Source organism: Homo sapiens, chromosome 22, assembly GCF_000001405.40.
Source record: "Homo sapiens chromosome 22, GRCh38.p14 Primary Assembly".
NCBI classification, from domain to species: domain Eukaryota; kingdom Metazoa; phylum Chordata; class Mammalia; order Primates; family Hominidae; genus Homo; species Homo sapiens.
The window spans coordinates 23,876,197-23,890,686 of NC_000022.11; the positions used below are offsets into that span (position 1 = coordinate 23,876,197).

General features: G+C 51.2%; 1 protein-coding gene and 1 pseudogene across 6 annotated transcripts in view, besides 1 other annotated feature; one reads left to right on the forward strand and one right to left on the reverse strand.

Moving 5' to 3' along the window:
• SLC2A11 (solute carrier family 2 member 11) overlaps positions 1-10,116 on the forward strand; it is a 29,379-nt gene extending 19,263 nt beyond the window's left edge. For 3 of the 6 annotated variants that reach the window (NM_030807.5, NM_001024938.4, NM_001024939.4), the window contains 8 exons: positions 846-975; positions 1,525-1,673; positions 6,263-6,450; positions 6,563-6,673; positions 7,576-7,677; positions 7,753-7,828; positions 8,106-8,233; positions 8,453-10,116. In NM_030807.5, coding sequence (NP_110434.3) covers positions 846-975; positions 1,525-1,673; positions 6,263-6,450; positions 6,563-6,673; positions 7,576-7,677; positions 7,753-7,828; positions 8,106-8,233; positions 8,453-8,653 — 1,085 coding nt within the window. In that variant the 3' untranslated portion in view covers positions 8,654-10,116. Of the gene's footprint in view, positions 1-845; positions 976-1,524; positions 1,674-6,262; positions 6,451-6,562; positions 6,757-7,575; positions 7,829-8,105; positions 8,234-8,426 lie in introns of those variants that run through there. The other 3 variants (NR_104247.2, NM_001282864.2, NR_104248.2) reach the window with 3 other exon arrangements.
• Positions 3,297-3,594, reverse strand: RN7SL268P (RNA, 7SL, cytoplasmic 268, pseudogene; annotated as a pseudogene).
• Positions 12,166-12,460: an enhancer, noted in NCBI's record as "tiled region #10281; HepG2 Activating DNase matched - State 5:Enh, and K562 Activating DNase unmatched - State 5:Enh". NCBI's record gives its function as "activates a minimal TATA promoter and a strong SV40 promoter by Sharpr-MPRA in HepG2 cells, with weaker activation in K562 cells {active_cell/tissue: HepG2 | K562}" and the evidence as "EXISTENCE:reporter gene assay evidence [ECO:0000049][PMID:27701403]".

The window sequence follows — 14,490 nt, forward strand, 5'->3', positions numbered from 1 at the left end:
CACCATTATTCTGCTCATTAGAAGTGAGTTACTAAGAGTAGCCCACGATCCAGGGGAAAGGAACCAGGTCAGACTTTGTCTTCATGTCCCAAGTACCCATCAGAGAAGGAATCCCCAGCTAAATGTTTGTAGGAAGAGCAGGGGCACCTCCGAGACTCCTTGGCAATCAGCATAGCTGCCTTCCTTCCAGTTATCTTTGCCCAACTCGTAGATAGAGGGGCAGGACCTTGATGGGAGAACCCCTAGGTCAGGGAGGGCATACTGCATTCCCAGGGGCGTGACACCACAACACAGTGGCCTCTTAGCTTTTGCCATTTGTCACCCTCTGGGAGGGCGCTGGGGTGCTCTCCAGCTCTCTGTTTTCCTGAGGGCAGTGTAGGTGCCAGGGTCTTCCCTGGGGGAGCCAGGGTGAGGTGAGAGCAGCTGTAGTGATCAATGAAGGAATTGACATGAGTGCTGGGACAGCTGGTAGGCATCCAGGATGTGGTCCTACCTTCCTCCTCCCACCCCCCCGCACAGCCCCGTCAGAGTCCTTCACACTCGGGTCCCAGTGATGGGACCTAGGAAGAGCCCATGAACATGTGGTACTGTGGCCAGGGACCAGGATGGGAGCGGATCTGAGAAAGCCCTCCCTCAGAAGTTCTGAAGAGTAGAGTTGGGATCCTGTTGGCCCTTCATCAGGTGAAGCAGAACCCCTGAGTGTGGGGGGTGAGGGATCAGCCCTCAGTGCCAGGATCCAGTTGAGTGGCTGGACAGTGCTGAGTGGGGCAGGGGAGACAGGCTGGGTGTCGTGGAGTGGGGGTCCCAGCTGGTGGCTGACGTGCCTCTGCTGTGCACACGTCCAGGTGTGAGCATGAACATCCAGCCCATGTACCTGGGGGAGAGCGCCCCTAAGGAGCTCCGAGGAGCTGTGGCCATGAGCTCAGCCATCTTTACGGCTCTGGGGATCGTGATGGGACAGGTGGTCGGACTCAGGTAAGCACCCCTCCCCCACATGCATTGAGTATTTCGGAGATACCAGTAAAAGCGTTTCTTCACCTAAATGTCTCCCCTACCCACTAGTAGATTAAAGCATTATTGCTTTGCATGAAGGCATCGAATCCTCTATCCACATCTCTGCTGCCAATTCACGAAATGGGTATCAGTCAACACACTGCAATGTGAATCACCTTTTCCCATCCTCTCCAGGTCAGGGAGCAAAGAACAGGTCTTCACAGAGGAGAGGGTGAAGATTTGGGCTTTCAAAGACAAACGTGTTCCAGTCATTCCAGAAAAAAGAGGAGAAGGCAGAGCCTGGACCCTTGGGAAGAGGAGTTGCTAGGGATGAGGTGGGGCAGTGGCCCTGTCCTCTCTTGGTCCCAACCTGGGTGGGAGGGATCTTGATGTTCAGACCCAGACTTGGATAGGAAGAGGCACGGGGCAATTGCAGACTCCCTGCAGGGAGGTGTGTAGGTGGGCAGGAGAGCAGGGTGGTAGGACTCTGGCAAAGAGGCATCTGGCCTGGCCTCTCCTCTGCCTCCTTAGGGAGCTCCTAGGTGGCCCTCAGGCCTGGCCCCTGCTGCTGGCCAGCTGCCTGGTGCCCGGGGCGCTCCAGCTCGCCTCCCTGCCTCTGCTCCCTGAAAGCCCGCGCTACCTCCTCATTGACTGTGGAGACACCGAGGCCTGCCTGGCAGGTGAGTCTCTGTCCTTGGGCTCCCAGACTGCCCTTGACCAAGGGATGCATCTCCCCAGAGTATACGGGTCCCCATTTCATAGGTTTCATTTATCAAGGAAAAGCTATCCCTCTCTTTGTGCCTCAATTTCATGATCTGCCTATACCTGCCTTCAATCAGAACTCTATCAAGTGGTTGTCCTAACTGCCAGGCAGCAGAATGGATCAGACCTAGCCACTGTTACTCAAGAACTCCAGAGCGGTGCGGAGAAACACACGCGCACACACACGGTGAAACACCTGTGCAAGACCTCACCTACCCAGTGCCAACTGGGTGATGGTCATCTTATATCAGTTAACTTTGGCTACAGTAAGAATGCCTAAGGAACAATCGCAACATTTCTGCTTTAAAGCAACAATTATTTACTGCTTCTTTTATTCATGTACTTGCCTGGCTGGCTGCACAGCTCTGCTGATCTCAGCTGGGCTAGTTCACAGTGTGGGGCGGGGGAGGGGGGCAGTGGTGAGGTTCAGCTGCTGGTTGGCCGGTCTAGGCTGGTCTGGACTGGAGCCATTCAGCTTTGCTGCACTTTCTGTCCTCTCACTTTTGGTACCAACGAGTTAGCCTAGGAATAGCATGGTGATGGCAGAGAAACAAGAAAGCAAATCCAGTTGCATAAGCGCTTTCCAAACCTTTGGTTCCCTCGTGCCATTAACATTCCATTGGCCAAAGCGAGTCAGTCATACTGCCAAATCCCAAGTCAAGGGATGGGAAAATTGATGGCATATCCTCTCCCATCGCAAGGGCTGTGGATTTAAGGAGGGGTGAAGACCGGGGCCCATTAGTGTACTCTTCTCTGTCACCATGGCCGCAATTATTACTTATGTCTCTCCTCTGTGCAAAATGTGTTCAGTCCCATCCCAGGATCCCCCAAAGTCTCATCCAATCATGGCATCGGGCTTGAAGTCCCAGATCTTACGCCACATTAAGTCTATATGGGCCTTTTCTTGATCCAGAAACCTAGGATCTAGAAAGATGAGTCTTCTTCCCTTCCCACACTCAGCATGCAATGGTAAAAAGTAAGATGAGGTAACCAAAATTAATGCTCTCATTTCAAAAACGAGGAAGCAAGGCAGGCACAGTGCAGTCACTAATCTATAACAATTCTGAAGCGCCCCTAGGAAAATATGGCCATGTCCCCTGCCTTGGGGGTAGGGAGTATTCTTTGTTCAAGTTCCAGCTCTGTCCCCTACCCCCTATGAAGGGCACCCCAGGCCATGGTTCTTTTATTTTTTTTATTTTTTTTATCTTTTAGAGACAGGTTCTCGCTTGTCCAGGCTGGAGTGCTGTGGCTGTTCATAGGCATGACGCCATTGTTGATCAGCACGGAAGTTTTCTTCTTTTTTGTTCTTGTTTTTTTGGTTTTGTTTGGGACAGGGTCTCACTCTGTCGCCCAGGCTGGAGTGGTGTGATCTCAGCTCACTGCAACCTCCACCTCCCAGGCCCAATCAATTCTCCCACCTCAGCCTCCTGAGTAGCTGGGACTACTGGCCCGTGCCACCACGCTTGGCTAATTTTTTTTTATTATTGTATTTTTTGTAAAGATGGAGTTTCACCTCTTTGCCTGGGCAGGTCTCAAACTCCTGAGATCAAATGATCCTCCCCCCTTGGCCTCCCAAAGTGCGTGGATTATAGGCATGAGCCATTGTATCTGGCTAGCATGGGAGTTTTGAACTGTCCCATTTCCAACCTGGGCCAGTGCATTCCTCCTTAGGCAGCCTGGTGGTCCCTGCTCCTGGGATGTCACTATATTGATGCTGAACTTAGTGCAGACACCTGATCTGCCTAGCGTACTACAACCCAGAGCTCCTGGGCCCAGGCGATCCTCCTGTCTCAGCCTCCTGAGTAGCTGGGACTCTAGGCACACACCACTATGCGTGGCTCTCCATGCTTCTTGGGTCTACCCTCTGAGATGTTTTTCCTTTTCTTTCACCTTCCTTGATTCCTTCTGAAGAGGGCGTTGCACAATGTGCTGCTTTTGATGGTTGAGCAAATTTCTCAGCCTCCTTCCTGCCTATAGAGAGTTGGGGCAGGCTGGGCGCCAGCTCACGCCTGTAATCCCAGGGAGGCTGAGGCGGGCAGATCACGAGGTCAAGACATCAAGACCAGCCTGGCCAACATGGTGAAACCCCATCTCTACTAACAATACAAAAATTAGCTGGGTATGGTGGCACGTACCTGTAGTCCCAGCTACTAGGGAGGCTGAGGCAGGAGAATTGCTTGAACCCGAGAGGCGGAGGTTGCAGTGGCAGGAGAATTGCTTGAACCCGAGAGGCGGAGGTTGCAGTGAGCCAAGATTGTGCCAGTGCACACTGCACTCCAGCCTGGTGACAGAGTGAGACTCCATCTCAAAAAAAAAAAAAAAAAAAAGAAAAGAAAAGAAAACAAAGTTGGGGCACAGAAGTCTTTATATTTCAAATTGTCCTGGTCTTTTTTTTGTCCAAACTGGCAGAGCTTTTGCCAATACAACTTTCTCAAAAATGATGTGAATTTTCTATGTATTCGAGGTTTTTTCATGTGTCAACAAACCACGCTCACAATTATTTTTGAGACAGGCTTCTCTCCCAAGGCCTAATTGCTGGTATTTAGGGTATGTCAGGCTACCGTGAATCAACGCCCTCAAGCCTCCTAAATGCCCCCTTTTCTAGTTGTGAGGGTCTGTGAGGCACTGCTTTAAGCTATACCCTTGATTTGATCTTTACTATGAGTCCATGGCTTCCTGGCAGTGCTCTGGATTTGATCTTTGCTCACAGGCTGTTACTTAATTTGGGATTCTTTTGCTAGCTGGAGAGGATAGAGGCGAGAAAACATTTTTTGTTGTTGTTTTCAACTAACCCAGTGTTTCTGAAATATGCTACGTTTAATTAAATTTTGTTGCCTCTGAATTCTGCTTGCAAACTGGCCAGTTATTTTCTGAGCTAATTCTTCATGTCTTACAGCAAGCTTAGAATATGCATCTAACAGCAACCAGTTCATGCTTTCAACATTTGGAGTTTTCTTTGCTCAAGTCCATAAGTTCACTGAGCCCATTTTCTTTCTTCCGTGTTACTGCACTATATAACATAGCTTTTCATTTCTCCAGCCTCATCGCCGTCCTCTGCCTCGTCTTGGAACTGATACCATATTTCACAGGTCTTTGTTACGGTAGCACCAACTCCTGGTGCCAATTTATTGATCAGCTTTCTATTGCTGACTAATAGATGATCATAACATCTCGGTGGTAAAGAAACAAAAAAAGCAATTATTTAGCCTAAGCCTCTAAGTCCTCTGGGCTGGGCTGATCTAGGATGGTTCTGGCTGATGGCTCTGCTGATCTTGGTCATTCCTGCAACTGCAGCTCAGCTGGGCATTGGCTGGCTGATCTAGAATAGTCCCAGTGAGGGTGGCTTAGCTGGGCCCCTTTGGCTGTCCATGTCTTGTCATCCTCCTGGCTAGCCTGGAATGTTCTCATGAAGGCAGAAGAGCAAGTAGAAGTGAGCAAGGCCTCTTAAGGCTTAGGCTGGAACATGGTACGCCCTCACTGCAGCCTCATCCTATTGGCCGAGCCCAGAGCCAGGAGCAGGGATGTAGGCAGTACTTGCCCCTTTAGTGGGAGGAACTGCAAAATCACACAGCAAGCAGTGTGGGTGCAGGGAGGGGTGAAGAATTGGGTTTGATAATGTGCTGCAATAGTCATGTCCTGTCTGATATGTCCGCAGAACCCTGCGTTTCTTTCTAAAGCCTTTTTTCATCCATGGTGGCAACACCGCAACAGCCCTGAGAAATGTCAGGGCAAGGAAGATCATCTCCATCTGACCAGGGAGGCAAACAGAGACAGAGAGATTGAGAGAGACAGAGGCAGAGAGAGAGAAACACACACACACACAGACAGACACAGAGACAGAGAGATTGAGAGAGACAGAGGCAGAGAGAGAGAGAAACACACACACACACAGACACAGAGACAGAGAGATTGAGAGAGACAGAGGCAGAGAGAGAGAAACACACACACACACAGACACAGAGACAGAGAGATTGAGAGAGACAGAGGCAGAGAGAGAGAGAAACACACACACACACACACACACAGAGACAGAGAGATTGAGAGAGACAGAGGCAGAGAGAGAGAGAAACACACACACAGACACAGAGACAGAGAGATTGAGAGGCAGAGAGAGAAACACACACACACACAGAGACACACACAGAGACAGAGAGATTGAGAAAGACAGGCAGAGAGAGAGAGAAACACACACACACAGACACAGAGACAGAGAGATTGAGAGAGACAGAGGCAGAGAGAGAGAGAAACACACACACACACACAGACACAGAGACAGAGAGATTGAGAGGCAGAGAGAGAAACACACACACACACAGAGACACACACAGAGACAGAGAGATTGAGAGAGACAGAGGCAGAGAGAGAGACACACACACACACAGACAGACTCAGAGACAGAGAGTGAGCCAAGAAGGAAAGGAATGGTGGGATGGAGGGGGGCGTCCCTGTAGGGGGACCAAAGAGGGGCTTGGGGACGGGGAGCTCAGTACCCTCCTCCCTGGCTCAGCACTACGGCGGCTCCGGGGCTCCGGGGACTTGGCAGGGGAGCTGGAGGAGCTGGAGGAGGAGCGCGCTGCCTGCCAGGGCTGCCGTGCCCGGCGCCCATGGGAGCTGTTCCAGCATCGGGCCCTGAGGAGACAGGTGACAAGCCTCGTGGTTCTGGGCAGTGCCATGGAGCTCTGCGGGAATGACTCGGTGAGACCCCTGCCCCGCCGCACACCCTGGGCCCCGGGGGCTTGGTGTTGCAGGCCGCTGGGAGCCATGGGAGGTGGAAGGGAGCCCAGGCCTGAAAGCCACCCTCTCCCAGGTGTACGCCTACGCCTCCTCCGTGTTCCGGAAGGCAGGAGTGCCGGAAGCGAAGATCCAGTACGCGATCATCGGGACTGGGAGCTGCGAGCTGCTCACGGCGGTTGTTAGTGTGAGTCTGGAGGGTGCCCTTCCTCCACCAGCCCTGTGGGGAGGGACCCCCAGGTCCTCTGCATTAAACCAGTTTACACTCCAGCTTATGGTGTTAAAATGCAGTGAGGGGCCAGGTGCGGTGGCTCATGCCTGTAAGCCCAGCACTTTGGGAGGCCGAGGTGGGTGGATCACAAGGTCAGGAGTTCGAGACCAGCCTGGCCAACACAGTGAAACCCCCGTCTCTACTAAAAAATACAAAAAATTATCCCGGCGTGGTGGCGGGCGCCTGTAATCCCAGGTACTTGGGAGGCTGAGGCAGGAGAATCGCATGAACCCAGTAGGTGGAGGTTGCAGTGAGCCGAGATGGTGCCATTGCACTCCAGCCCAGGCAATAGTGCTGAGGTGGGATCAGGAGTTGGAGACCAGCCTGGGCAACATGGTGAAACCCCGTCTCTACAAAAAATACAAAAATTAGCCAGGCGTGGTGGTCTTCGCCTGTAGTGCTAGCTACTGGCGAGGCTGAGGTGGGAGGATCACTTGAGCCTAGGAGGTTGAGACTGCAGTAAACCGAGATTGTGCCACTGCACTCCAGCGTGGGCTGGACCAGTGAGACCCTGTCTCAGCTCAGTGAGACCAGTAAGACCCTGTCTCAATCAATCAATCAATGCAGTGAGTTAGAGAGCATCTATTGAGCATCTACGGTTTGCGGGTCACTTCCAGCACCATTTTGAGATGCGGAAACTGGCTGAAGTTGGGTGATTGATTGACCAAGTTCCTTTGGGAAATTAATAAAGTCACACTGAAGCAATAAACTACCCTCACCTCCACCACCAGCTTTCTCAGGAGACCCCTTCCCATTGCCTGCCCCAGACCTCAGGGACCATGGCTGGGTGTGTGGGTCTGTGCTTTCTGCCTTTGCAGTGTGTGGTAATCGAGAGGGTGGGTCGGCGCGTGCTGCTCATCGGTGGGTACAGCCTGATGACCTGCTGGGGGAGCATCTTCACTGTGGCCCTGTGCCTGCAGGTAGCTGGGGTGGATGAGGGCTGGGGGGTCCAGGCCGGGCTGACTTCCACCTCACCCCCGCCCCGTCCACGGCAGAGCTCCTTCCCCTGGACACTCTACCTGGCCATGGCCTGCATCTTTGCCTTCATCCTCAGCTTTGGCATTGGCCCTGGTGAGTGGGCCCAAGGGGCTCTGGGCATCCATCATCACATAGAAGGAGTGATGGGTGCCTGGGTGCACAGTGGGTGGGTGTGAATGCAATGTCCCCTGCAGGCCCTCAGAGACCACCTCATGCCGGGGCTTCTGGGAGGGAATGGCAGGAGGAGAGCACTGAGGGGCCCCCCATACAGACTGGGCCTGGGCTCCCACTCCCATGTCTGGGCTGGGGTCGGGGAGAGGCAGGCAGGGAACCCTGGCCAGCAGCCCCCTGTCCCTGCCCCTCCTTCTAGCCGGAGTGACGGGGATCCTGGCCACAGAGCTGTTTGACCAGATGGCCAGGCCTGCTGCCTGCATGGTCTGCGGGGCGCTCATGTGGATCATGCTCATCCTGGTCGGCCTGGGATTTCCCTTTATCATGGTAGGCCCGCCCCTCCCGCTGGGGGCCCTGCCTTAGGCTGTGTCCCTGTCATCCTGAGAACCCCAGGGGGAGGCTTCCATCCAGGGAGACTGAGACTGAAAGGGAGGGGTCTTAGGGGAGCAAAGAGGGGGGCAAATGCCTCCTCACGACCTGTCATGGGCCTTCTGTTTAGGGGTTGATGGAGACACACCAGGTCTTGGGGTCTTTTTTAATCCGCAGGAGGCCTTGTCCCACTTCCTCTATGTCCCTTTCCTTGGTGTCTGTGTCTGTGGGGCCATCTACACTGGCCTGTTCCTTCCTGAGACCAAAGGCAAGACCTTCCAAGAGATCTCCAAGGAATTACACAGACTCAACTTCCCCAGGCGGGCCCAGGGCCCCACGTGGAGGAGCCTGGAGGTTATCCAGTCAACAGAACTCTAGTCCCAAAGGGGTGGCCAGAGCCAAAGCCAGCTACTGTCCTGTCCTCTGCTTCCTGCCAGGGCCCTGGTCCTCACTCCCTCCTGCATTCCTCATTTAAGGAGTGTTTATTGAGCACCCTTTGTGTGCAGACATGGCTCCAGGTGCTTAGCAATCAATGGTGAGCGTGGTATTCCAGGCTAAAGGTAATTAACTGACAGAAAATCAGTAACAACATAATTACAGGCTGGTTGTGGCAGCTCATGACTGTAATCCCAGCACTTTGGGAGGCCAAGGTGGGAGGATCAATTGAGGCCAGAGTTTGAAACCAGCCTAGGTAACATAGTGAGACCCCCTATCTCTACAAAAAATTTTAAACATTAGCTGGGCATGGTGGTATGTGCTAACAGCTCTAGCTACTCAGGAGGCTGAGGCAGCAGGATCACTTGAGTCCAAGAGTTCAAGGTAGCAGTAAGCTACAATCACACCACTGCATGCCAGACTGGGTGACAGAGGGAGACTTCATCTCTTTAAAACATAATAATAATAATTACAGACTCAGGAAATGCAGTGAAAGAAAAATACAGGTTGGCCAGGTGAGGTGGCTGATGCCTGTAATCCCAGCACTTTGGGAGGCCAAGATGGGAAGATTGCTTTGAGACCAGAAGTTTGAGACCAGCCTGGGCCACATAGTAAGATCCTGTTTCTACCAAAAAAAAAAAAAAAAAAAATTAGCTGGGTGTGGTGGTACATGCCTGTGGTCCCAGCTACTCAGGAGGCTGAAATGGGAGGATCACTTGAGCCTGGGAGGTCGAGGCTGCAGTGAGTCCTAATTGAGCCACTGCACTCCAGCCTGGACAACAGAAAGAGACCATGTTTCAAAAAAAATAAATACAGGTTGTAGTGGGTATGGGTATGCATACCAGGAGGCCCGACCTCGTCTGAGAGGGGAGTGGTCAGAAAAGAATTTTCTGAGGAATTGATGTTTTTAATCAACTTTATTGAGGTATAATTTATACATAACCAACTGCATCCATTTTAAGTATATATTTGGCGAGTTTTGAGTTCTAAGTATAGTTTTGGTGAGTGTATACACTTGGGAAACACCACCGTGATCAAGATGGAACCTTTACCCTACCCCAAGGCACCCACATGCCCATTTGCTATCAGTAACCCACCCCAGTCCCAGACCTGGGGAACCACTGACCTGCTTTCTGCCTCAATTGGTCAGATTTGCCTTTTTTCAGAATCTGAAGTCATTCCGTACTGTATGTACACATTTGTGTCTGGCTTGGCTCCAGATAAAGTTTTTGGGATTCATGAATGTTGTTGCACGTATTAGGAGAGACTCCTTTGTATTGCTGAGTAGTATTCCCCTCTGTGGTTAGACCATGATTTATTTATCCATCTACCTGTTGGTGAACATTTTGGCTGTTTCTAATTCTTGGCCATCATGAATAAAACTGCTGTGAATGTTCCTACAATAATAATTGTCTAAACATATGTTTTTATTTCTTTTGTGTCTTAGTCCGTCGGGCTGCTATAACTAAGAACCACAGCCTGGGTGGCTTATAAACAACAGAAATTTATTTTTCATGGTTCTGGAGGCTGGGAAGTCCAAGATCAAGGTGCCAGTGGATTCAGTGTCTGTTGAGGGCCCATGTCTTGATTCATAGATGGCGGTCTTCTTGCTGTGTTCTCCTAGACATGGCAGAAGGGGCAAGGGAGCTCTCTGGGGTCTCTTTTATAAGGGCACCAATCCCATTCATGCAGGCTCTGCCCTCATGACCTAATCACCTCCGAGGAGGCCCAAAGGCCCTACCTCCAAGTACCATCATATGAGGGATTAGGTTTCAAGGTATGAACCTGGGGAGGACATAAACAGTCAGTCTAGCTTTTTGGGTAAATGAATTGCTGGGCTTAATAATAAATGTATATTTAACTGTATAAAAATTGTTTTCCAAAGTGGTTGATTATATTGTTTCACATTCTCATTAATAATGTATGAGTTCTGGATACTCCAGATCCTCATCAGCACTTGGTATTGTCAGTCTCTTCAATTTAGCCATTCTAGTGAGTGTGTAGTGGTATCTTGTCATTTAATTGTGGTATTTCCCTAATGACTAATAATGTTTGACATCTTTTCATGTGCTCAGTATGGCCATTTGTGGGTTTTCTTTTATGAATAATTTGTTCAAATATTTTGTCTACTTTTTTTTGTTGTTGTTGTTGAGACAGGGTTCTCTGTCGCCCAGGCTGGAGGGCAGTGGAATGAACTCAGCTCATTGCAACCTCTGCCTCCTGGACTCAAGCGATCCTCCCACCTCAGCCCCCCAAGTAGGTGGGACCACAGGCGTGAGCCACCATGCCCTGCTAATTTTTGTATTTTTGGTAGAGATGGGATTTTGCCATGTTGGCCAGGCAAGTTTCAAACTCCTGACATCAAGTGATCCACCCACCTTGGCTTCCCAAAGTGCTGGGATTACAGGCATGAGCCACCGCACCCAGCCCTTATCTGCTATTTTTATCAGGTTGGTTGTCATTATTTTTTAAATGTGGGCATTTTTTATACATTCTGGAAGCTAGTACTTTGTTAAATATATAGTATTGTAAATATTTTCCTGCAGTCCGTAGCTTGCCTTTTTTATTTTCTTAATGCTACCTAAGAGCAGAATTTTTTTTTTTTTTTTTTTTTTGGAGATGGAATCTCGCTCTGTCACCCAGGCTGGAGTGCAGTGGCGCGATCTCGGCTCACTGCAGCCCTGCCTCCTGGGTTTAAGCAATTCTCCTGCCTCAACCTCCTGAGTAGCTGGGACTACAGGCACGTGCTGCCATGCTCTGCTCATTTTTTTGTATTTTTAGTAGAGACGGGGTTTCACCATGTTGGCCAGGATGGTCTTGATCTCCTGACCTCGTGACCTGCTCGCCTCGGCCTCCCAAAGTGCTGGGATTACAGGCGTGAGCCACCTGGCCCGGCCGAACAGAAATTTTTATTTTGGTAAAGTTTGATTTATCAGTTTTTGGTTTTTGTGATTCATGCTTTTTGTGCCATAAGATATCTTTGCCTATCCCAATGTTGCAAAGATTTTCTTCCAAATGTTGGATAGTTTTAGCTTTTACACTTATGTTGCTGATGATGAATTTCAAGTTAATTTTTGGGTATGGTGTGAGGGGCTGAGGTTCCTTTTTTTTGGGTGGGTGGGGGGAACAGGGTCTCACTGTGTGTTGCCTAGACTGGAGTGCAAGTGACGTGATCTCAGCTCACTGCAACCTCTACCTTCCAGACTCAAGCAATCCTCCCACCTCAGCCTCCTAAGTAGCTGGGACTACAGATGCGTGCCACCATGCCTGGCTAATTTTTTTTTTTTTTTTTTTGAGATGGAGTCTTGCTCTTTCGCCCAGGCAGGACTGCAGTGGCACTATCTCGGCTCACTGCAACCTCTGCCTCCCGGGTTCACGCCATTCTCTTGCCTCAGCCTCCCGAGTAGCTGGGACTGCAGGCGCCCGCCACCGCGCCCGGCTAGCCTGGCTAATTTTTGTTTTGTTTTGTTTTATTGTTTTTCTTTGTTTTTTTGTAGAGACAGGCTTTTGCCATGTTGTTCAGACTGTTCCTGAACTCATGGACTCAAGCCGTTCGTTTGCCAAAGTGCTGGGATTACAGGAATGAGTCACCATGACTGGCCCTTTTTTCTTTTCTTTCTTTTTTTTTGAAATGGCTATCTGGTCGTACCAGTACCATTTGCTTTAAAAAAAGCCATTTTTTCTTCATTATTTTACTTTGGTGCCTAAATAAAGAAAATCAGTGGACTATTGTTGTATAAGAAAGAATTTGGCTTTTGTCAGGAAACAGTGACTGTTAAAGAGAAGTGGTGGGGCTGTGGGTTCTCTGGGGAGAGAGAAATCTCTGGGTCAGGGTGTCAGTAGAGGTCTCAGGGAGAAGGTGACTCTGAGCTGGCTTCCTAAGGATAGGCTCAGCTGGGGGCCTTTTAAAAGCTAGAGCCTTGGTGGCATGTGCCTGTAGTCCCAGCTACTTGGGAGGCTGAGGTGGGAGGATCTCTGGAGCCCAAGAGTTGGAGATTACAGTGAGCTATGATTGCACCAGTGCACTCCAGCCTGGGCCACAGAGCGAGGCCTTGTTTCTACCAAAAAAAGAAAAAAAAAAAAAAAAAAGCTGGAGCCACTGGGAGGCAGCAGCGTTGCAGGATGGGAATGAAGCTACCGTGTCCAGTCACTGTGGAGTCTTCAGGAGGCAGGGGCAGCCCTCCCAGGAGCCCTGTGTGTGGTCACTCTGCCCCTCTGTGTCCATCCACCCTGATCCTGCCTCTGTTGACCTGCTCCCCAGCTTACCTTTGTGCTCCAAATGGCTTCCCTGGCCGCCCTGGCTGCAGACCTCCAACGTGGAGTCATGAGTAAGAATCCATTGACAAGCACCCCTGAGATCCTGGGGTACGTGCCACGAGCAGAGCAGGCATCAGGTGACACCCAGGTCCCGGCCTGCCTCGGACACACATGGTGCCCCGGTCCCCAGCCTGAGCCCTGCCCTCTCACTCACCACCCACCCAGCCGGAATTGGCTCTGGCCACTCTGGGAGGGCGGGGTGGGGGTTGCAAGTCCCTTGTTACGCAGGGAGCCCCTCAGTTAGGGAGAGGAGACAGGGTCTCAGGACAGGACCTTGAAGACAAGGAAGGGCAGTGCAGAGAGGGGTGAGAGAGCCAGACTGGGTTTCTAGGGGGTGGTCCAGGGTGGGAGCTGACCTGCCTCTGCTGAGACTGCGTTCCAGGTGTGAGCATTGATGTCTAGCCCATGTAGCTGGAGAGGAGTCACAGCCATGCTCCCCAGCTCCAGCCCACCTCCCCAGACCCCAGACCCAGTGTGGCCTCTCCCCACCTCCCAGAGCATGTGGTCAAGCCCCTCTCCTAGCCCGAATCCCTCCCTCATTTGCTAATTACCAGGACCTACATGTCCCAGCTTCCCAGGGCCAGGGGACAGGGCCCCGCCCATCTGGCAGGCTCAAGTTGGCTGCCTGGCTGCCGGGATCCAGGCGGCGCTCACAAGGATCTGGGCTTGCACAGCCTCCAAAGGGCTGTTGTCCATTCTCTTGTATTTGTTCTCATCCTCTCCTTTCTTGGACCCTCTGAGTCTCTGGTTCCCTCTTGTTGGGACCCAGATCACTCTGTGCCTCAGCTGAATCATTTTTCCCTTCAGTTTACACATATCCACCTAGGGTCCACTACATCCAGAGGCTTCCGCCTCAGTCCTTGTCCTCAGGCTGTGCCCAGGGTTGTGAGGATGGCGGTGGTCCTTACCTTGCAAAACAGTCTCCCAGTGACAACAATGTTCAGGGATAACATCTATGGAGGGCTTTCTATGTATCAGGACCATTCTGAGTATCTTCCAAGTGTTAGCTCCTTTAATCCTGGAAAGGACCCCATGAAATTAGTACTTTTATTACCCCTGTTGTACATATGAGAGACTGAGTAAAAGCCGGTGGCTTGTCCAGGGTCACACAGCTAACTGGAATGGCCAGGAGTAGACCTGGTGACCATGGACCCCAGACCTTGATCACTGCACACGCTGCGTCTGGGACCTCGCCTGGTACCTGAGGTCCGTGGCGCGCTGGTGCTGATCATTCAGAGTGCTCATGGGAAGTGTAGTCTAGAGTCTGTGTGCTTCCTGATCTCCTTGATCTCCATTTTATTGAGGAGGCCTTTAGGCCACCCGAGGGGTCCAGAGTGACCCTGTGGATTAGCAGTGGAGCTCAGCTTGAGCCAGCGCTCTTCAGGGGTCGTGTTCTGCCCCCATTCTCTGGTTCATTCTGCAGGTAGCAGGGAATCATTGAAGATTAGAGAGAATCAAACACC